At 41.5% G+C, this 23,871-nt stretch overlaps 1 protein-coding gene across 9 annotated transcripts in view, besides 1 other annotated feature; it reads left to right on the top strand.

Moving 5' to 3' along the window:
• RASGRP1 (RAS guanyl releasing protein 1) overlaps nucleotides 1-23,871 on the top strand; it is a 76,712-nt gene that overhangs the window by 13,449 nt on the left and 39,392 nt on the right. The gene's annotated exons all lie outside the window — the stretch shown is intronic.
• Nucleotides 20,954-21,013: an enhancer, noted in NCBI's record as "active region_9204". NCBI's record gives its function as "activates an Ori minimal core promoter by ATAC-STARR-seq in GM12878 lymphoblastoid cells {active_cell/tissue: GM12878}" and the evidence as "EXISTENCE:reporter gene assay evidence [ECO:0000049][PMID:35858748]".

Here is a 23,871-nt window from a genome sequence, read left to right as displayed (position 1 = left end):
TGATACCATTAAAATGATTTCTGAGACTTAAAGTGTCTGGAAGAAGGTGTAATGGGGTATCTCCATCACGATATTAAACTTGAAGAAAGTCCTTCAGGAATTTGCATATTTTAAGAATGTGCTTTTGGATATATTTGAAGAGTCAATATTCTTAGGATGGAGTCTTAGAAACCCAACAAATTTTTAACTCAGTCTTTAAAAATTATTAATTTAGACTGTTTCTTGTTCTTACATAGACTTTGTGGTAAGATATACATAAGATCAACCACTAGCATAGACTTTTAAAATATTATTTTAGTAATAGCTAACTTTTGAGCATTTACTATGAATAACACAGTGTTTATGTTAATATTTTACATATGTAGTCTCATTTAGTTCCCACTATTTTATAAGTTCTTGTATTTGCAAAGATCTAACTGTCCCTCAGCATTTATACTTACTTTATAAATGTTAATAACTTTTAAAATTATTCATGTTCACCATAGAGAACGTAGAAAATACAGACTGGCAAAAAGAAAAAAATTACCGTCACTCATTTTACCATCAAGAGCAAGATAAGCACTATCAACTTTCATGGGTGTGCCTTTCTTGATTCTCTTCTATGGATATTTACATGTATTATAATCACAGTAACTTTTTGGTGATAAACTCACTATAACTTTTTGCTTCCCATAATTTATATCTTAAACAATTTTGATCTTGAAATCAATATTATTATTTATAAAGAGGTATGCTAGCACACAAGGTTGCTCTTCTATTTTAAAATTGATTTTTTAAAAATAATTCTGCTTAGTCCCTTCAAATATAGGACATAAAAGTGAAGGTTGCTTGGCAACTGAAATGATGGTAATGAGGAATTAAAGACATTACAAGAAAAGAAGAGTACTCAGTTCTTTTCAATGCTACATGCTAATTGCAGTAACTATGGCTGATTACAGTTGTAATAAATGAAGGAAACACAAAACTTCCATTAAAAATTCTTGATGTGAACTTTTTTTTATTTTGTATTACAGTGAAAGTGAGATGGGGTTTGCTGAAGAGAAACTTTACTTTCAGAAACAAGAAAAGATCTTTTGTCTGTATTAACTTTTTTTTCTTTTCTTTTCTTTTTTTTTTTTTTTTTGGCGACAGAGTCTCACCCAGGCTGGAGTATGGTGGCATGATCTGGGCTCACTGCAACCTCCACCTCCTGGGTTCAAGTGATTCTCGTGCCTCAGCCACCCGAGTAGCTGGGTGTGCACCACCAGAGCCAGCTAATTTTTCTATTTTTAGTAGAGATGGGGTTTCACCATGTTGCCCAGGCTGGCCTTGAACTCCTGAGCTCAAGAGATCCACCTGCCTCGTCCTCTCAAAGTGCTGGGATTACAGGCATGAGCCACTGTGCCCAGCCTATTAACCTTCTAAGGGAATATTAAGTTAGCAACTGGGTGAGATACGTAGCAGAAGCACAAAGATTTGGTACATCTGTGATTCTTCAGCAGCACAGAAGAGATGGTGGGCAGTGGTGTGAAGGAAGCCATGTTAACTACTTGTTTTTTTTTCCCCAAAGAGTAGTCAAGGGCCCTGGAGAGATTGCTGAGGTTCTCACTAGAGCCTTCAAGCAGAAGATGCTTCCTAGGATGGAGATGTACTTAGAAGGACACCAGTGATTCATTGAAATGGACAAAGGGAGTAGAGACTAGAGGGGGAAGAGGGAAGCAGAGGGGAAGAGGGAAGCAGGGATTGCCGGTTTTGTAACAAAGAATGCAGTCACCAGAAAAGTAAGGCAGTTTGGGATGAAGCCATCCAAGAACTTATCAAAGGTATATCTTTGCCAGAAAGTGAGGATTTCTAGTTGGAGGAGCAAATGGAGCTATGTCTGTCTCCTCTTCACTGATCTATCTGAATCATGGTATAGGACTTGGTTTTGTAATCTTGTGAACAGCCTCATTTTAAGGGGGAACCCACAATATTCAGGAAGCCAAGAAATGTCCCTGTTAATCATCTATGAGTCTATCTTGCTGGAATGTAGTTATAGACTATGGAACATCCTTAAATCTGATGAGCAATTAATCACTGGTTAATTTTGGATTCACTTATTAAATGCCAAATGCATAGGGGATTTTTCACACTCTCTGCCCTTCCTCCTTCCCAGTTCATGAGCACCACAATTGGATTCCATATTTACTTCATCCAAACCTACCTTGGTGGGTTCACCATTTACCTCCAGTCCTGGGGAGTTCAGTCCAGACTGTGAATTACTGCCATTTCTGAGGGGCTGCTTCCCAGATGGGAGCCATAGGACCCTCGCCTCTGGCCCTGGACTCAGTCTTCGTTTATTGCCAAGGATGAGCACTTGCTCTCGGGAATGGATGCTGGGGTCCACCTGACTGTTTGGCTTGCTTTAATCCCTAAAGGAAAAGCTCCCTACATTTATTGTGTCTGTGGTCCCCCCACCCTCTCTGTCCCAGTGCCTAAGAGTCTCATTACCTTGTCAGTAACTACCAGTGTCTACCTGAGATGGACTAAGCTTCATTTAACTGAGAAAGTGCACCCTCAAAATTGCAAGGAGAAATGTTGGAGGAGGACCCTCTGGATTAAAAGAGACTTAAAAGACATTTCAAACAGTCATAGTATGTGAACCTTTTTTCTAAAAATTATGTGTGTGTACACATACACACTCATAGGAGTATAGATGGATCCACATCTGCTGTATGCTGATCATTGTTGCAGCTGGCTGAGTGCATGGAGGTCCCTTACGTTGTTTTGCTCACTATGGTATACATGCTTATAATTTTCCATAATCTTTTTTTGAGACAGGGTCTTGCTGTGTCACACAGGATGGAACACAGTGATGCCATCTTGGCTCACTGCAGTCTCTGCCTTCCCAGCTCAAGTGATCCTTTCACCTCAGCCTTCTGAGTAGCTGGGACTATAAGCATGTGCCACCATGTCTGGCTAATTTGTGTGTGTATGCGTATTTTTTTGTAGAGACAGGGTCTCACTGTGTTGCTCAGGCTGGCCCCAAACTCCTGGGCTCAAGTGATCTGCTCACCTCAGCCTTCCAAAGTATTGGGATTACAGGCATGAGCCACTGCACCCGACCTCTAACAATATATTAAAATTAAAAGTGTCCTCAAACCTAGGACAAATAGATGATTTAGGATTACAAAAATTCAAACGGATTTTAGGAAATTTCTCTAAATTTTCTTAGGTGGCAAAATAGAGTGGCTGTGTCTGTTTTAAAGAAGGGAGAGGAAAATAAAGAATGAAAATGGTTACTTTGGTTACACATCATGAAAATAATTCACCCGTGTCATGTACTTGACATCTCGTGTCACAGCGCATTCCCCAATCAGCACTGAGATGCTCAATTCCTGGGTATCCAAAAAGACCAAAAAAAAAAAAAAAACCTGGAAACTTGTAATCTTTAATGCTACTGTCAGAGGCGGGAGTTGGAGTTGAGTAAGTAAGAGAATGTAATACTCTCCTCCACACCCCATCTCACACACACACACACGCGCGCGCGCACACACACACAGTTTTGAGCAGGGAAATGTCATGACTGTGCCACAGCTGATTTCAGCAAGCGGTGAAAAGATTATGGAGGCCACGTCACATGGCAGTCTTTGGAATCTGAAGCTGAGTCACTGAGTCTGCCATTTACCACATGTGGGGCTTGTTTGCCCGTTTTTAAAATGGAGAATAATGGTAAAAAATTTTAAAGGTGGTTTTACTTTGGGTGGAAATTTAACAAGATTGTCTTAGTTTGAGTTTTCCCAGGAGCAGATCCTGAGACAAGGATTTTTAAGTACAAATAGTTTACTTTGGAAGGTGGTCCTAGGAAAAACTGGTAGGGGAGTAGGGAAGGCAGCTCTTGGAGGGTGCATTGCCAAGTTACAACTCTGGGAGTCAGAGTGGAAGGCTCTTTTCAGACCTATCTTATCTGAGGGAAAGGAACTGGAGCATTGATGTACCAAGTCCCATCGGTCATTGGTTGAGGGCTGCTTTTAGAGGGTGTTAAGTTTGCAGCACATTTGGCCTGCCCTGCACACAGGTGGGGGTGTGAAGGGCTTCCAGAAACCTCTCAGGCTGGTGGAAGTTGAGTTGGCATGCATTACAATGGGAAGGTCTGAGAGTATGTGTGTGGGAACTTACAGGCTCTGCTACGAAGTCAAAAAGTAAATGTTAGATGGGCAAATATAGGCTACATGAAAATCCACATAAACAGTTTCAAAGCTAGTTTATAGTCGTACTCAAAGTGTATACATGTAGATATGAGTATTGAAGGATGTCCTTCTGCAGGTGAACCATTTATGAGTGGCTGTGGACATTTTCATCAGATTTAAACACAATCTGTGTTTTTGGTTAGACACACTGTGGGAAATAGCATAATTAGCAGAATTCAGGATGTGAATAACATAGCACAAAGAACTTAGACAAACAGGACTTCAATAAAACGTAAAGTCTCGCACTTAAGTTTAAAAATAGTGCTTCCTATATGTTCTGGATGGGGGGAAGCTGTATTAATTGTAGTTCTTATGACCAATACCAAGAGATTTTAGTAGATTGTAAATTCAACATGAGTCAGTAGTGTCGTGTGTCTTCCCCAGAATATTAACTTTCCAAAAGTTAAAATAATTAGAGATTGCCTCAACAGAAATAGCCTTTCCATGTTAAGGGAGTAATGCCTCCATTCTATCCTGAGGTCCAGTCCTAATGCTGACACATAGTAACTTTATTCCCTTAGCCGGTGTCTTAATGTTTCGGAGACTCAGTTTCTATCAACCTGAAAGTTAGTAGATACTTCCCCTGGATTGTCGTGAAGTAAGCATCTTACCAGAAAGTTAGAATTTATGGCCCAGCACGGTGGCTCACGCCTGTAATCCCAGCACTTTGGGAGGCCGAGGTGGCAGGCGAATCGTGAGGTCAAGAGATCGAAACCATCCTGGCCAACATGGTGAAACTCCGTCTCTACTAAAAATACAAAAATTAGCTGGGTGTGGTGGTGCACACCTGTAGCCCCAGCCGCAACAGAATACTCTGGAGGCTGAGGCAAGAGAATCACTTGAACCCAGGAGGCAGAGGTTGCAGTGAGCCAAGATTGCGCCACCGCACTCCAGCCTGGTGACAGAGCGGGACTCCATCTCAAAAATAAATAAATAAATAAATAAAGTTATAATTTATGTAAAATGTTATTAAAATTCCAATCTGCAGTACATACTCAAAAACAGTAGCAATCATTATTAGTATAGACTTGTTAAGTGTTAGTGTATGGCTTTTTCAGGTTAATAATGCAGCTTGCCAGAGGATCCAAAATCACATCATGGAGATACAAGATGGTTATAATGGCTATGCCAAAAAAATTACCAGGATGGTGTCATAATAGACACGAACAGCTATGAGACTAGAAGAGAGTGTTATAATTTAAATTTTCCCATGAATTTGAGCTGTATTAATGCAGTGTTTAGTAAGGAAGACCTGAAAAGTCTCTCATTTTTCAAAATATTAGGACAATGATGGAAATCCAACCAGAACTATCTTTGGGAATTTATTAGAAATAATATGGAGTATTTCATATATCTAAAACACAGGAAGAGTACAGGATGCCTGCAGGCCTTAGGAGTGCCTGAAATTAGGTACTATAATACTTTTAGGAGACTATTGCATATGTTCTGTGTATGTATGTGTCTCTTCTCTGTCTGACTTGCTTCTCTCTGCTTGTCAGCTCATCATTTTCTTTCACTGAAGATTTGTTTTCTACATGGCACTAACAGCTGTAAATCATGCATCTCTTACCATTAGAAATTTAATATTTTTTTCCCTCAAGTTCAGTGAAAAAAAAAAAACTGTCAGGGAAGAACTTTGGTTCAGATTTGGCCAGGTGGCTACTGCTTGAATGAATTGACTGTGGCCACAGGGTTGGAGTCATTTAATAATCCAGCATTTCTCTCTAAAACCACATGACGGAATCTGGGGAAGGAGCGTTTCCTAAAGGAAGGCTATTGTGCTGGGCATATGAAGCAGTATCTGTCATAACCAAGATCTGACCAAACACTAGAGTGCAGCATGCTATTAGATTCAAGTTTAGTTTCTGGATTTTAAGATGGGAATGGAAAGGCTAGAGAGAGTGCAGAGGAGATAAATAGTTAAGAAATTATACAGAAATAACATCTGTGAGGATATAAGATGGCAGAACCTGAAAAGAAGACAAATAAGTGGGTTTTCCCCTTTGTTTTCTTAATAATGTAAACATGTATGTCTCAATAGTAATAACCATAGAAGAGCTAGTATGAGTTATTTACCTCCAGTGGGACATATAAAGGGTAAACAAATTTAAATCTACCAAAGAACTGGGACTTCCCATAAAAAAATTAAACATCAAAAGGAGAACTTTCATATCTGACCATAGTGGAATACTGGATATTAGAATTATTTTCCTGCTACCAACAGCTATAAAACTGGACAAAATATCTGAAGCAACTATTTTTGGGTCTCAGAAAACAAGACAGACATGTGATTGTGGATAAAATAAAAAGATGTGAGGTTAACTCAAAACTCCTCTTGGCTTTCTGCCTGAGAGCACTTTACAAATCATGGTACAGGAAACTGGAGCCCAGTGAGCAGCATCTTGCCTTGCGGAGTATCTTAGTTCGTTTTCTGCTGCTGCAACAGAATACCAGACTGGGTAATTTATAAAGAGATTTATTTGGCTTATGATTCTGGAGGCTGGGAAGTGCAAAATGAAGGGACCACATCTTGTTATGTCATAACATGGCAGAAGGCATCACACAGACAGAGAGAGTGCTTGCAAGACAGAGAAGAAGGGGGCCAAACTCCCAAGATAACTAACCCTTTCCCAAGATATGGAGTTAATCCATTCATGAGGGTGAACCCCTCGTGACCCAGTCACCTCTTAAAGGCCTCACCTCCTAATACTGTTACAATGACAATATTAAATTTCAACAAATTTTGGAGGGACATTCAAACCACAGCACAGAGAGAACAGTTTGTGTTCAGGGATTCTGGGATGGCTGGCATTTGTGGAGTGGCATACAAGAGAGAAGGTATTTCCAAAGACTAAACTGTGCATGGATATGATGAGACTCTACGACCCCTAATAGTTCCTGGGGGTCTTTGAGTTAAAGGAGGTCTCATGGTCTGGGAAATAACGCAGTTCCAACCAGCCAAAATGGAGAGACATAACACTTTGGGCATTCAGGTGGGATGAGAAAAAGACTACAATGTAGGAGTTGGGCTACTTTAGCCCTAGAATATGAGCTAATCTTGACTCACCCTAATGAAGCCTAAATCTGAGCTTCAACAGGATTAATTTAAGGTCCCATGAATTAAATACCACCATAAAGGAACATATTAATAATTCAAATTATCAATATTGCACTTACAATGCCCAGCATGTAATAAAAATTATAAGACAGAAAAAGAAGCAGGAAAATGTGACTCATAACCAGAACAAAAAAGATCAATAGAAATGAACTCAGAGATGACACAAATGTTGGAATTAGTAGATAGAGAATTTAAAGCAGCTATTATAAATAAATATGTTGGAGGATTTAAAGTAAGATGAATAGATGTAAGTAAAGTAAGATGACCTTAGCAGATAAATTGCAACAATTAAAGGAACCAAATGGAATTCTAGAACTGAAAAATAAAATATACCAAAAAGAAAAATTAACTGGATGGGCTTAATACTATAGTGGATGCAAAAAAAAAAAAAGAAAAAAAGAAAAAAAGAAAGGTCAGTAAAGTCAATGACAGGTCAATATCTCAGAGAGAAAATGCTGAAAAAAAAAAAAAAAAAAAAGACTAGAGTTTCAGATGATGTAACCAGAGTTTAAATGGACATGAAAGGACCTGGAATAACCAGAATCTTGAAAAAGAATGAAGTGGAAAATTTACACTACCTGTTTTCAAGACTTAATATAAAGCTATAGTAATCAAGTCCATGTGATATACATATAAGGATAGACAAATATATCAGTGGTACAGAATAGCACGTTCTGGAAGAAATCTACATATACGGTCAGTTGATCCTCAGCAAAGGCACCAGGGCAGGTTAACGAAGAAAGGAGTATCCTCTCAACAAATGGTGATGGAACAAATGACAGTCATGAAAAAAAATGAACTGTGACCTGTGTCTCACACCATACACAAAAAATGAGATGAATCAAATGATGTAACTGTAAATAATGTTAACCTGAATGTAAAGTTAAAACGATAAGTCTTCTAGAAGGAAATTTAGGACAATGTTTTTGCAAACTTAGAGTATTTTTTAGACAGGACACAAAGGACTAACCATAAATAATATATTTAGCAAATTGGACTTTATAAAAATCAAAAACTTCTCATCAAAAGATACCATTAAAGAAATGAATGGAAGAAAAATACTTGGGGAATATATATATGTATGTGTGTATATATATATATACACACACATATATATACACACATATATATGTGTATATATATACACATATATGTGTATATATATACACATATATGTGTATATATATACACATATATATATATACACATATATATGTATATATCTGACAAGAACTTCATTTTATGCTAGTATACAAAGGAAAATTCCCTGTGGCCCAGATGAATTGCCATTATTGGGACCCTCTGGCTCACACCAGATTGATTTCTGATCATGCTTTTGAAATTAGAATTAACCAAGCCCCATCAAGGAGTCTGTAATATAGGCAGGCACCAAATCAGCTGTGTTAAGTACTTCCCTTGCATGTTGCCCTGAGAACAGGCGAAAGACTTCACTGCCGATTTCTGAAATTGGAAGAGGTCTTCATGGGGTCATCTAGTATAGCTTGTAGATCTACTCCAGGGCAAGGATGAACTCAATGGTCTAAATCAGTCTAATCAAACTTGATCTGATCCCTTGGGAGCTTTTTAAGAATGCAAATTCTCTGCTCCATCCCTGGATCTCTTGATGGAGTAGGTATTAGGTAAGGCCTTGGAATCTATTTTGAGTTCCGTTGGTGGTTTTTTGTTTGTTGTTTTGTTTAGGCCAGTCAATGAAGCAGTGAGAGTGGAGAAGAAACAAAGAAACCTGTAACTGGTTGTGATCAATTAGTTGTAAACACCACTTCAGTCAGACCAGTTTTTGTTCTGCTTTTGTTGTTATTTTTTAGTTTAGTGTGTTGTTTGTTTGAGACAGGGCCTTGCCTCTGTGTCACCCAAGCTGGATTGCAGTGACAGTATCAGCTTATTGAAGACTTGAACTCCTGGGTTCAAGTGATCCTCCCATCTCGGCCTCCCAGAGTGCTGGGATTATAGGCACCTAATGGGTAAGCTGCCACCCCAGGCCCAGCCTTAGTTTTGTTGGTAAGCTAATCAGGAGGTCTTGAAAAGTCTCACCTGCCTCTTAGTCTATCAGAATCTGACCCTTCCTTCAAGGTCCATCTCAAATGCTACCATCTTTATGAAGCTTTAGCCATTTCTTCCAGTCAAATCTGACTTTCCCCTTCCTCTGAACTGCCCGTGTTTACCTCCCTCTAGGCCCTGACTGTACCATGTACTGTAGTATTGCCTGTAGCTTCTTCAGGCTTGGGACAGGGTGCTTATTATATCTGCAATCCCACAGTACCTATCACAGTGCTCTTTGAGCAAAGAACTCTGGTCTTGTGATGAGAAAAGCCAAGTCTAGGATGCCAGCTCTGCCACTTGATGGTATTATCCGTGGGTTAGTGATTTATCCAGGGGTGACATTCAGAATATTTATGTGTGTGTGTATATATATATATGAATGAATAAATGACAGGGTCTTGCTCTATCACCCAGTCTGGAGTGCAGTGGCACAATCACGGCTCAGTGCAGCCTCCACTTCCCTGGCTCAAATGATCCTCTTACCTCAGCCTCCCAAATAGCTGGGACCATAGTCATGAGCCACCATGCCAGCTAATATTTTTTTATTCTCAGTAGAGATGAGGTCCTGCTGCGTTGCCCAGGCTGGTCTCAAACTCCTGAGCTCAGGTGATCCTCCCGCCCCAGACTCCCCAAGTGCTGTGATTACACGTCACCACACCTGGCCTTCAAAATATTTAACCAGCATGGCACATGTCCCTTCATTTAGACGCCCGCTGGCCAGGCTGGGGATTAGCCCTGTCTTTATGCTTTTATTGTCGGTAAAGTGGATACAGTCCCTACCCACCTCAAAAGGTTGTTGTGATGGTCAAATGAGATAATGCATGTGAAAGTACTCTGTAAAGTACAAAGTGCTATACAAATGTAAGTCAGGGTTGCCTGGTGGTATTTCTAGTGCCCGTGTGTGGGGTTGGTTGCCCAGCCCTCAACATGGTCTCATGGTCTGCTCTGCTCTGCTCAGAGCAGTCTCCCAGGAGCAAACCAAGGAGTTGTTGAGTAATTGAGCAGGACACTGCAAATCTGAGAAATCCTGGAATCAGCCTGTTAGGTCCTAAGGAAACTCAGAATATCAGCTCCTTCAAGGATGGCCCCTTTTTAGGCCTGAAAAATATCAATGTTTCAGTACATATATTTTGGAAAAGCTAAATAAAACAAAAACCTAAAAAGGCTTTTTGAATTTTAACCTAAGTTTTCCTTATTTGAGGACACCTTGTTCTATTGCACAATGACCTTAAAATTCAGGATCCTTAAAGATATCTGGGCATCTCAGACTCATCTGATTGTCACCATATGGCAAGGAGCTGCTCTGCCTAGATCTGTAAATGGAGTTAAATGCCAGAGACATTAACATAGATTAAAGGGACAGTCTAAATCTTAGTCACTGCTTTGTCTTTATAGTTTCTTGCCTCCTCTTTTTACCCTTTTACTTCCTTAAAAACTGTCTTAATTTCCTCACCATCGCCTTCCCACATGCCCTCAGGTCTGCAGATCCTGGGGATACAAATCCTTAGCCACTTTTCTCTTCCAAATGCATTTCACTCTTTCCTCATATTCAGTGCCCAGTTACTGTTTTGTGTTTATCATTAGTTGCCAGTCAATGTTAATGTTTGTTCTTATATGCTTTGATTTAAATGAAGGAAATGGCCCCAGTGTAGTGTGTACAGCAGAGAACTAGAGACTGTAGGGAACAGACAGAAAATAGACACAACCCTTTTACTTACTCTTGAAGGATTCCCATTTAAAAGGCAATGCAGGGATGGCCACAGTGACTCATGCCTATAATCCCAGAACTTTGGCCGGCCGAGGTGGGAGGATCGCTTGAGCCCAGGAGTTCAAGACCAGCCTGGGCAACACAGCAGGACCTCATCTCTACAAAATATAATAATAATAAAAAAGAATTAGCCTGGCATGGTGATGTGTGCCTATAGTCCCAGATACTTAGGAGGCTGAGGTGGGAAGGTTACTTGAGCCCAGGAAGTCAAGTGTGCAGTGAGCCATGATTATACCACTGCACTCCGGCCTGGGCAATAGAGTGAGACCTTGTCTCAAAAAATAAAAATAAAAACAAACGGCAAAGATGAGTTCATGTCCTTTGTAGGGACATGGATGAAATTGGAAATCATCATTCTCAGTAAACTATCGCAAGAACAAAAAACCAAACACCGCATATTCTCACTCATAGGTGGGAATTGAACAATGAGAACACATGGACACAGGAAGGGGAACATCACACTCTGGGGACTGTTGTGGGGTGGGAGGAGCGGGGAGGGATAGCATTGGGAGATATACCTAATGCTAGATGACGAGTTAGTGGGTGCGGCACACCAGCATGGCACATGTATACATATGTAACTAACCTGCACATTGTGCACATGTACCCTAAAACTTAAAGTATAATAATAATAAATAAATAAATAAAAACAAAAAAAAAAACGGCAATGCAGGACTGTGGTAGATATTAATAACTTTAAAACATAATGATAAAATAACCAGGGTGATAATTTGTAGCCCCTTCTTGCTACTTCCTAGCTGTGGGACATTGACTAGATATTTTTACCTCTCTTGACTCTGTTTCTTCATGTGTGAAACAGAGAAAACATCGATCATGCAGAATTGTAGTAAATATTGAGAGCATGTCTGTAACATGGCCTAGTTCACTCCTGGCACATGGTGGATGGTTCAGTATATGGTGGCATTTATTATATTCTCATTTAGCATGCAGGCCAGCTCTGGAAACCCTCAATACCCAGGTAGACTATGTGCTTTTTATCTTTACAGCTGTCAGGGTGAGAGGCAGTGGTATCTGGTGGAAAGGGCAGGGTTTACCTCAGAAGACTGGAACTCAAGTCACAGCACTGTCACTCATAAGATGGGTGACTTTAGGCAAGTCATACCACCTTACTCTCTGTTTCCTCACCTATAAAATAATGCAAATAATACCCATCTCTCAGAGTTGTGAGGCTCAGATGAGGCAACGTGTGAGGAGAGTGGTCATTCATAAAACGCTAATAAATAGAGGTTATTAGTACTTCAGCACCAGGGTGAGGGTTTCATGTGCCTACGTGACAACTGTCAGGCACCGTAACTATTTGGGACCCACAAGTTAACCAGACATCCGTGGTGTGAACTCAGTTCAGAACCTTGTTCTCCTCAAAAGATATTAACACTTTTTTCTTATCTTGAGTGCCATCTCTGGATTATCTCTCTGTTGGAAGGGGTGGGCGTAAGACATTATGAAGCTCTCATTCTGCAAAGAGCAAATTGAGGCTCAGAAACAATCAGGGCCATCCCAGAGCCAGGCAGCCTGGGTTTGAATCTCAGGTCTACTACTTACTAGCTGTGTAAACTTGGACAAATTACCTTACTTCCTTGCCTCAGTTTCTTCATCTGTCAGATGGCACCTGTCTCACAGGGTTAATATACGTAAAGGCTGTCTTGAAACAGTGTCTGGTACACAGGAAGTGCTCCAAGTATGTTAGCAAAAAGAGAAGACGGGGGTGGCTAAACCTTGAATGTAGTTCATTTCTTCTGGTTAGATGCTGCATTTCTTCCAACAATCTCAAATATTTCTCCTGGTCTCCCCCATCTTCCAATAAGTAACAACATTGTTAGTTTCAGTGTTGCATTTTGGCTATTTCTGTAGGACAGTGATACAACACATCAATTCATGACTTAGGATGTTCTGAAGCACATTCTTTTTTGTTTCATTTTGTTTATGGAGACAGAGTCTTGCTCTATCCCCCAGGCTAGAGTGCAGTGGTGCAATCTTGGCTCACTGCAACCTCCGCCTCCCAGGTTCAAGCTATTCTCATGCCTCAGCCTCCTGAGTAGCTGAGATTACAGGCGCCCACCACCACACCCAGCTAATTTTTGTATTTTTAGTAGAGACGAGGTTTTGTCATGTTGGCTAGGCTGGTCTTGAACTCCTGACCTCGGGTAATCTGCCTGCCTCAGCCTCCCAAAGTGCTGGGATTACAGGCATGAGCCACCGTGCCCAGCCCCTTGAAGCACATTCCTATTCAGCTCTTGACTACTGAATAGAGACCAGTTTCTTTCCTTTGAATAGTAAGAGATTCCTCACTCACCGGTGCAGTTCTCACTTCAGAGTGGCTCTCCAGGTCCTCCTGCTCACTTCTCTCTAGCACCTCTGTAAACTCTTGAGGGTTCTGGCGTTGGGGGAGTGCGCTTAAAACCTAGGATTGAAGGGAAGCTTGGAAGGCTACTAATATAGTTGGGATGTTGTTCCTGCCCAAATCTCATGTTGAAATGTAATGTTGGAGATGGGGCCTGGTGGGAGATGCCTGGATCATGGGGGTAGGTTTCTCATGAATGGTTTAGTACCCTCCTCTTGGTACTGTCCCCATGATAGTGAGTTCTCATGAGATATATGTCCCTCTGGGAAGCTAGGACAGGGCCCCACTGCTCCTGCTTCCCTTGCCTGGCTCATGTCTATAGTGCTGCATGGGAATGGTCAATGTCTATGAGCCATGGGGTTGCGTGCATGGCAGCTCATCAAAGAATCAAACTGTAGCATAACTACCCAGCCAGATGTGTGGCACTTCCTCCCTCTCCCTCTTGCTCCTGCTTTCACCATGTGACGTGCCTGCTTTTTCACCCTCTACCATGATTGTAAGCTTCCTGAGGGCTTCCCAGAAGCAAATGCTGCTATGTTTCTTATTCAGCCTGCAGAACCTTGAACCAATTAAATTTCTTTTCTTTATAAATTATATTTTCTTTATAGCAATGCAAGAATGGACTAACACAGCCACCAACTAACTGCCAAGGAGGACCCCATGCTTGAGGGGTCCAGTCTCGCTGGCACAGTGATGAACTACAGTGGACAGCCACTCCTTGAGTAGTGGTCATAGTTAAGGGACAAAAAAATCATGGTTCCAGTCTGGAATAGCCAAACAAAGAAAAAAAATAGCCAGAACAAAGGAAAAAAAAACAAAATAGTGCTTAAATCTAGCAAGAGAAATAAGAATAATTCATCACTGTTATAGTGCTTCACACTTTTCTAAGCATTTTTATGTATTTAATCAAACATCATCTAATCCTAACCACAACCAAAGAAGGGGTGAGGAAACTTTCAGAATAATTTCTATCTGATTTCAAAAGACTCTGTTCAGTTACTTTTTACCCTACATGGTGATGTGATGTTTTTTTGTACGAGACTGTTCATTGCAGAGAATTATAAGCAATTAAAGAACAGTTTCTGTGGTGAAAAGCATATTTTACAATAAGACTATGGTCAGTGGATTTCTATTTTATGTCAGCATACACTGTTTCCCACAATTCCATCATGCACTGGAATGAGGTTATCTATTATCTAGGCTTGTGGGTCTGATGGGACCAAGTCACTCATTGAGAAAAATTGTCTGAGGAAGGCTGAGGTCATGGCTAACCAGTAATTCTCAGATGGGCCTTATATTATTTTGTTGTGTAAGTATTTGGGAAGTTCTCCAAGTTGCTTCTTCGTGCCTATTGGGCATGTCTGAAAATATGCAAAAAAGGCCAAGAATTTAATAGATAAGAATGACGTGATACAAATATGCTCCAGTGAGCAAGGTAAGAGCCTGACCCAGATTTTCTTCCCAGTTTGTTTATTTCTTTTTCTTTGGGTCCACTGGCCCTTTGCCAGCCCTCCTCCCAGCAAGCTGCTGGCAGCTCTCTGTGTCCTTCTGGGAAGCTAGGACAGGGCCCCGCTGCTCCTTCTTCCCTTGCCTGGCTCATGTCTATAGTGCTGCATGGGAATGGTCAATGTCTATGAGCCATGGGGTTGCGTGCATGGCAGCTCATCAAAGAATCAAACTGTAGCATAACTACCCAGCCAGATAATTCAATTGTTCCTAGAGAGTTTGATGGGACCCAGAAGAAGTAGCCACCAGGTATATTCAGTCGGCACTGACTTCAACAAATGCTCTTAGAGTTTGAAGTCATAGCGTTGTCCCAGAGTCAGCTCACTGGGTCTGCTCGGGACTTGCAGTACCTCTTCCCTGCTCTTCTGTTTATTTCCTAGCCCCAGTCCCCAAACCCCACCCACAGACTTGTGTCCAATTTCCAGAACTGAAGAGGACCAACTTCCCTCCTGACTTCTGAGACTCATGATTCTTCAGACATGACAAGTCCAGATCGAGACTGCAATCCCCAAGGAAGGCCAGCTGTCTTGCTCAGCAGAGACAATACAGCTAAAAGCTCTTTCTCACTTTAGGCAATTCATGCACTTGGTTAGACATTTATAGACTTCAACTGCTCATCCAAAAAATCTAGGTCATTCTTTACATAGAGCTTCACACTTTGGAAGGAAAGCCAGGCCCAGGGAGGAGCGTTTCTGTTGATGTCTGGTTTGGCTGAGGCAGTAGAGAGTGCTTCTGCTGTGGGAAGAGGGAGAGATGGACCAGCGCAGGCACTGTGGGCCCTTAGGGGACGTGAATTTTCACCCCCTGGCCACTGACTCACAGAGTCTCTGAGTAAATGGTGCCAATAATAGCTGCCTTGTGTTGATGTCATGAAAAGTGGTGGGTTTAAGGATTAGGCTTTCTAAGGACATTTTTAAAGTATGTACCATAATTCCAGTGAGAAGGGCTGGGTGGGTCTGTTGGGGGTGTAGGGCTTCCTGGGGAGGAAGAAAGAATAGAGGTGTGGGTGAGAGGTTTAGCCATGTAACATGGATGGCCAAAATGGTAGAGCTCTTCCAAGTATATTCCTACCTGCCTCCTAAGCCCCGAGGAGAAGGACATGCCAAAGAAAGAGCCTTGGGCTGGGAGTGAGAGGGCCCTTCTTGTGGAGGTTCCTCTACTCACCATGGCTGAGGCATGTTGCTTCAGTTTTCTCATTTTTAAATTTCAGCTCATGGTTCTGCTGCTGCATTGAGCTGCTGTACAATGCAAATGTTCAACACAAGTGAAGCTGTTTGTTGAACCTAAGTGCCACAAAAACGTAACATATCATTATCAGGTGTTCTCACCCAGAGAGAATAGTGTGGTTCTTCAGCCACTCGCTTGCTTCAGGGATGGTTTGTGTGGGCATGTGCTCATTTTGTACAGGTCTGTTCCTGTGTACCTAGATGCTGTGCAACTTGAAAGGCCTGCTCCTCCTTCCTGCTCTACTACTCTGGCCCCAGCAGGACAGTGAATATCAATAGAACAGAGGCAGGAAGCATGGGTTCTTTTCCTTCAAGTCTTTTCCACGTTGGCTTCTCTGCAACAGGAGTTGAGGGAGGCTTGGTTAGAACAAATCACCTTTGTCTGGGGGTGGGTTAACCAGATTTTTCCCTCTTCTGTGTCTGTGGCCTTGGTTGTGGCACCAGCTGTCATCACTGCCCCAGCAGTTGGGTGGGAGAGAAGAGATGAGCCTGGCCAGCCCCTCTCCTGCTTTAGTAAGACTCCGCTTAAAGGCCTGTTGTAAAAGTTTGAAATTGCAGGTCAGGGTTAATTTAAAGCTTGTGTATTGTCCATGTTATGGTGTCCCCCAGCCATTACAAGTAAATAATTAAAAGCCAATTGTAACCAAGATATTCAGAGCTCCATAAATTCCTGGACACCATAATATGACAAGAAATAGACACTAGTCTAACTATATGGCAGGCTGTCCTATGTGGGCCAGGGTATGACATACCAGGTTATCCCAGAAAGAAGAACAGGACAAGCTTTACAAGGAACTGAGCTTCCCTTCTCCCAAATTCTCACCTTATATTAACATTTTTGTTCTTGGTTTAGAGCACCAACCACTTCAAGAAACTGCTGTTGCAATGTGGATTTCTCTGAGAGGATTCACCCTTGAAGTCCTTGTCTCCTGCAGAGGAATTTGTTGATCTGGATTAACTGTCCAGTCATTGGGCAAGGCCCAGAGGGCATGAGATTAGGAGTGAGATGAGGAGTGGAATGGGTTCAGGAACACCTGGGGAGCAAGGAAACCAGACAGGAAGGAATACAAAAGGAAGCCCAGCAAGCACCAGCCCTCTTGAGGAGGCTTGCAGCTGCTGTGGGTGCATGCTGGAGGTGGCCCACACCTGTCCTGAGAGCTGACTGCAAGCATCTCTTCCTAGGTGCATGTTCAGTGACTTCATGTTGGTAGCTTGAAACTGGCCATAGTGGAAGTATTTACACCATGCAAATACGTGAACACTACAAACCAGGGTTCCTCTCACTTCTCTCCCAGGAGAGCTTTACATTAAACTCTTGCAAGCATCCTGCTGGTGGCAACCATAATGGATTCTCACTTTCCCTGAAAAGCAGGACTTAATCCTTAGCAGATCACTTGCTTTCTCCCGATTGTTCTCCTCCCCTGAGTCTTGAGGGGCTGGGGACTAACAGAGACCAAAGTGGCCTTGGTGATATGTATGAAGTGGCTCAGGTCATAGACGGTATACAAGTTCAAAGTTTGTATCACCACATTGTTTCTTCACATGCACTTCCTGCCTAAGTTGCTGCCGTCCGCTCTAAAAAACTAAACAAACAACGACCAGAAAACAAACTCTACTGATCTTATTTTCAGCTTGCCAATTTTTATACAGTCTCCAAACAGGATTTAATGAATGTAATAATCTTGCTGACAAATAGGTTTTACTTCTTTGGAATATTTATCACATAGTTATTTATTTAGAATTCTGTGTGTATACCTACCAGGTTCAACCTAGACCCAGCCTAACCATGTTTCTGGAGATACTGACCTCCATTATCAACCTCAGCCTTACCACAGGCTCTGCTCTAACCTTGCCCCTAGGTTTTCTGATCCTAGCTTTCCCATTACCACCCTCTGGCCTCTGGTTGTGGCACACCTGTTATTTCATGTTAGGCCCTCAATGCTGACAGCTTGCCTATCCTTCATATGCTGATCTGTCTCTGGTACACTCAAAATACCTTCACACATCAAGAGATTTCCTTGGAAACCAAAACAAAGGAGAAGAAGTGACTGTTCCGGAGTTGCTGCCTGGTGCTGGACGTTTGTTTTCATGTTTCATGTTCATCTTGCAGCAAGGCATTTCCATCTCATCCCCCAGACAAGCCTTCACTGTAGGAAAGCTGGCCCCCACCTCTTATCAGCAAGGAGCAGGGTCTGCATCACCACCCTTTGCCAGTTTTCTCTCACGAGACTCTGATCATCAGGGAGCAGGTCTTCTCTCTCAGAGGCAAGGAGCTTATTTCAGGCAATAACAGCAGTTTTCATATGGTTCTTCAGATCTCCTTTAGTACCTAGGACAGTGCTTTCCATAGGGTAGATTCATTATCAATGTTGGTTAGTGGTGTCAAAAATTATTTCTACTTGAAGTAGAATGAACAGTTGCTATATAGAATAGTTAGGAAGCCATATCCTGTCATTGGAGGGGTCCAAGTAGAGGCCAGACAACCACTTACCTGTGATGGTTTTAGGAGGGAATAATGCATTTGGATAGAAAGAAGAGGTAGAAGATGGCTAGCCTTTTCCACCCTGATTGTGATCTCATAAACTATGGGATGCCAGCACTGAGTCTAACGGTGGAAAATAGGCTGTTGGCCCAGAGACAGATGACTCTCCAGAATCCGCTTAGTTTTTCTGTTTTCTTGAGCAAGTGGTCTGCAGGTTGAGTGAGTCTTTAATTAATATGCTTCTCTAGCAGCTTACATTACTCCCCTAGTCAAATGGCAGAGTATGTAAGATCAACATTGTGTACCCCACTGAGGCTTCAACCCTTTAAAGAAGTCTTTTCCTGTAAGTGTAAGGAGAAGCAGATGGTAATGAAAAAATACGCACATTTTATTATGCGTTGCACATTTTACTTATTAGAATTTTTAGTATGACACCCTGCATTTTAAAAAGCCTAAAGATGAAAACAAAATGGAATTATTCTTTGAAATATTTAAATCAGCTTGCAGCAATTATCTCAAAATATGAAAATAAAATCTAGCAGCCTGGAAGGTAGATCTTCCTTGACCACCCACTTTGAAAATCTCGTCTTTCAAAGGGAGGCTCTTCCTCTCAAAAAGGAAGAAGAGCATGCTGTACAGAATGAGGGCAGGAAGGGACGTATCCCCGATGAGGTTGTTCAAAAAGGAAGAAGAGCATGCTGTACGGAATGAGGGCAGGAAGGGACATATCCCTGATGAGGTTGTATAGAGCTGGAGCTTATGTGTGGGAGAGCTGGTGGTGGGAATGAGGGCAAGTGACTACACTGAACCATTCTCTCGTTGAAAAGTAGAACCAGGACTGGAGAGGAGTTACCTCGGAGTTCTGGACTGGGTGTAGAGAGAGAGTGTTTCTGTCTGCTCTTTCCCTAACCACATCTCTGCCTCCCTTGGCTGAGTGAGTCATCCTCTGCCAGCCTTACCATTTGCCAGCACTCACTCCCACAGAGACCATGTGAGGATTAACAAGCCGTACTTTGGGAACGTCACTGAAACTGTGGAAAAGCAGTGCAAGGTAAAGGTGAAGTGTGAATATGATTGTGAATCTTAAGCACAGAACCCTGAGTTCTTAAAGGCAATTTTTAAGATTAGTATCCATCAACCAAAGTTCACAAGAGTTTTTCAGAAATCACCAGAGTACAAAAGCTATTTCACGAAATGTGCAGTGGCTGTGACCTTAGTGAGATTTCTTAGACTTGTAGCCATAAGGACTGGAAGAGTTCGTAAAGCTCAGCTCCCACTTTATTCTTGAATTCCTTATCCTGACGAATGGTGATTCAGCATGCAGCCAGGTATAGTGGAAAGAGAAGGGGCTCTGGAATCAGACAGACCTTGGGCCAGGTCCCAGCTCCTCCACCCATTGTCCCTTTGACCTAGAACAAATTACCTAATCTCTCTATGCTTTGATTTCCTCAGCTGTGAGTTGTGAACAATGCTTGTTGTTGAGAGTTAGAACATGGTTAAAGTGTTTAGCACAGCTCCTGGTATTTAGTAGGGCTTCAATAAATGATAGCTGCTATGCTAATTACAATAATGCTTATTAAGTGTTGCTCTTCAGGCTCTTTTTTAATATCTCTGTGATGGCAATGCTTCCATCATTAGACAGTGCTGATGGCTAGAATTTTCTGCCACATGTTGTGCCCAATCCTATTTCCTATAATTTCTATCCATCTACTCTGGTGCTGCCTTTTGTGGCCCCATAGAACAAGTCTAAACCAACTCCCACAAAGAACACTTCAGATATTTGAAGACAATTTTAATCTCTTCCCCAAGTTTTCTTCATGGTAAACCCTTTAGTTCCTGGAATCCTTCCATAGGTGACTTAGTTTTGATCTCACCCAGGACACGTCTAAGTCCCTTTTCCTCACATATGAGTATCTATGGGAAGATGCTAACCAGCCATAAAGGAAAGTTGAGATGGCAAGTTTTAGATGCCATCCATACTGAATAAGCTGGCTTTTGTCCATGGTTCTTGTGAACATTCTAATGCATACCCTACAAGTATATGTCACAGTTCCTTCTTTTCACTGTAGTTTCACCAGAGTGTTCAGGAATATGAACACTGCTACCTGTGAGGAAGGGTACACTGTAAAGACTGTATTGTCAAATGCTGCATTGAAAAGCCACCCCTTGTAATTGTGGTAGGTTTGATTGCATTATTGCCCCCTGACTTTTTACCTTCTCTATGTCAGTGCTATGTTCCATGTGACTTTGCAGTTCCTGCCCTTTGACTTTATATTCAGTAGTGTGACTTGCTTTGGCCAACAGAATGAGTCAGAAGAAACAGCACGCCAGCTCCAAACCTAGGCTTCAGAGGCCCTGGGTATTTCCAGTTACTCTTCAGTGTTCTGCCATCATCATGAGATAACCTACCCCCACTAGCCTACTGGCCCAAGGAAGCAGGGAGGCATGTAGGCTAGGGCCCCCAGCAGCACCCAGCCTGCACTAGCTGATTGTAACCAACTCACAGAAACTTGAGCAAAAGTAAGTGATTACTGTTTTAAGGCACTGAGTTTTGGGGTGGTTGGTTATGCAGAATTTTTGTGGCAAGAAATAATTATTATGGAAATTATGTGGGGCCAGAAAACATAAAGTAATACTAACCCTACCTGGACAGAGTACAAGTTTAGAAGAATTAATGAAAGATTTACAAAACTATAACCAAGCTAGATGAACACTTTTTAAAAATGATTTACCAAATTGTAACTTTGAATTTCTTTTGCAAACTGTGACCAGGAAGAAGATAAATGTGTATATTACATTTCACGAATGAAATAGGTAATGACGAAAGCAAACTCAATTTCTAAATATCTGTGAAAAGTTAACGTGTTTCCTATTCGATATAGTTCACTCATTTACTCAAGAAATGTTGAATGAATCATGTGTCAGTACCATTCTAGGCCCTGGAAATATAGTTGTGGAAAAAGTGGACAAGGCCCAGGTCTCATGAAACTTGTATTCTACTGGAGATTTAGAAAATAAAAAATTAAATAAATAAAGCAGATAACTTCAGATAATGGTAAGTACCATGAGAAAACTCAGGCAGGGTAAGGAATACCTTAGGTAGTTTAGAAAAGACTTCTCTGAGGATGTGACATTGAAACTAAGACCAAAATGACATCAGTAATTCAAGGGAAGAAAGACTACATTGAAGAAAATAGCAAATGCAAAGGCCCTGAGGTAGGAATAAGCTGGGAGTGTTTGAGGTACAATTAGAGGTGTGGAGAGGAGCAATGTGGTATGAAATGAAGTGGATGATATTTAAAGAGGCCAGGACATGTAGTGCTTTTTTGGCCACAGTAAGGAGTCCGTTTTATTCCAAGTGGAATGGAATCCACTGAAGTGTACTAAGTGCATGACTTGATTTATAGGTTTTAGGAGTTTGTCCTGACTTCTGTATAGGGAATAGATTGTAGGTGGACAAGAGTGGAAGCAAGGAGGTCGATTAAGTCATTGCATCATGGTGGCTACAACTAGGGTGAGGCCAAGGATGGAGAGAAATGAACAGGTTTGAGATATATATTGGAGGTAGAATCAAGACTTCCTGATGGATTGGATGTGAAGGAACATGAGAAATAAAGGATAATGGCTAGGTTTTTAGTTGGGGTAACTGAGAGGATGGTTGGTGGTGCCATTTCTGGAGATGAGGCAGATGCGAGGAACAATGAACTCAGGGGAGGGAGAGATCAGGAGTTTTGTTTGAATGAGTTAAGTCTGAACTTAGACGTTGAATTGGATTTGCCAGGTAGGCTGCTGGACATACTAATTGGGTAGCGAAGGCTGAAGATACCAGTTGGGCAGTCATCAGCATATAGATGGTATTTTAGCCAAGAGACTAAATGAGTTCATCTAGAAAATAGTAGTGAAAGTGTTTTATTTTTAATTTAAAATTTAAGAAGTTTTAAATTTTAAAAACTGTCAAAAAATAAATAAAAGAAAAAGCGGGAGGACTCAACCACAGAGCATGCTGACATTTAAAAGCTTAGCAGAAAAAGAGGAGACAGAAGAAGAGCCTGAGAGAGAGGCTGAGAGAGTGTGATGCTATGGAAGCCAAGAGAAGAAAGTGTTCCAGGAAAGAGAGTCATCAACTTGGGTTGTGTTGGGTTGAATGCTACTGAGTCATAAAGTAAGATAAGGATCAAGGAGTAACTGCTGGATTTGGCAGTGTGGAGCTGATTGGTAACTTTGAAAAATAAAAGATTTAGTGGAATAATGGACACAGAAGTCAAATGGAATGATTGAAAAGTAAATGGGAGAAAAGAAACTGATAACAGTGAGGTTTTGCTAAAAATGGGAATAGAGAAATAAGTAGCTAGAGAGGATGAGAGTTTAAGGTTTTGTTTTATTTGGTTTTGAATTGGAGATGCAGAGGCATATTTCAATGACAATGGAAATAAACCCACAGAGAGAAAAGTTGATATTGTGGGAGAGAAAATGGACAAATGCAGGATCAACGTCCTTGAGAAAGGGGGAGACCCAGAGCACAGTGAAGTGTTGGCCTTCCATGCTAACAGGAGAGGGCAGGGGATAAGGGCAACAGAGTACCAGTGAAATGGTGGATTTGGGGATGGGAAGATGAAAGACACTGTCAGTTTACATATACATATATATATACATTTTAATATATACACTTTAATTATTGAGATGGGCTCATGCTCTGTCACCCAGACAGAGTGCAGTGATGTTATCATAGCTCACTGCAGCCTCAAACTCCTGACCTCAAGCGATCCTCCCACCTTGACCTCCCAAAGCACTGGGATTACAAGCATGAGCCACTGTGCCCAGCCACTTATATTTTCTCAATGAGATATGACTTTAGATCGTCGTTTGAGGAGCCAAGACTTCTGAATCCTGAGCCCAAAAGCACTGTGTCCTTCATTTACCATTTGGTACATTTGAAGCAGAGTGAACATGATAACCCCTTTAATATAAAGAGCAATACAGATGACAAAACAATTCATGTATATTCTTTCATTTGATACTCTTGCCTTGAATAATTGAAGTTCCCAGTCTGGAACAGAATTCAGTTCGTATAAATGAAGACATTGTAATGAAGGGACTATTTACAGAGATGAGAGTGGAATTAAGAGATGTATCCAGAAAC

This window comes from Homo sapiens, chromosome 15 (genome assembly GCF_000001405.40).
Source record: "Homo sapiens chromosome 15, GRCh38.p14 Primary Assembly".
NCBI classification, from domain to species: Eukaryota; Metazoa; Chordata; class Mammalia; order Primates; family Hominidae; genus Homo; species Homo sapiens.
Note: the sequence above shows the minus strand (reverse complement) of the source record. Positions and strands in the feature narration are given on the sequence as shown.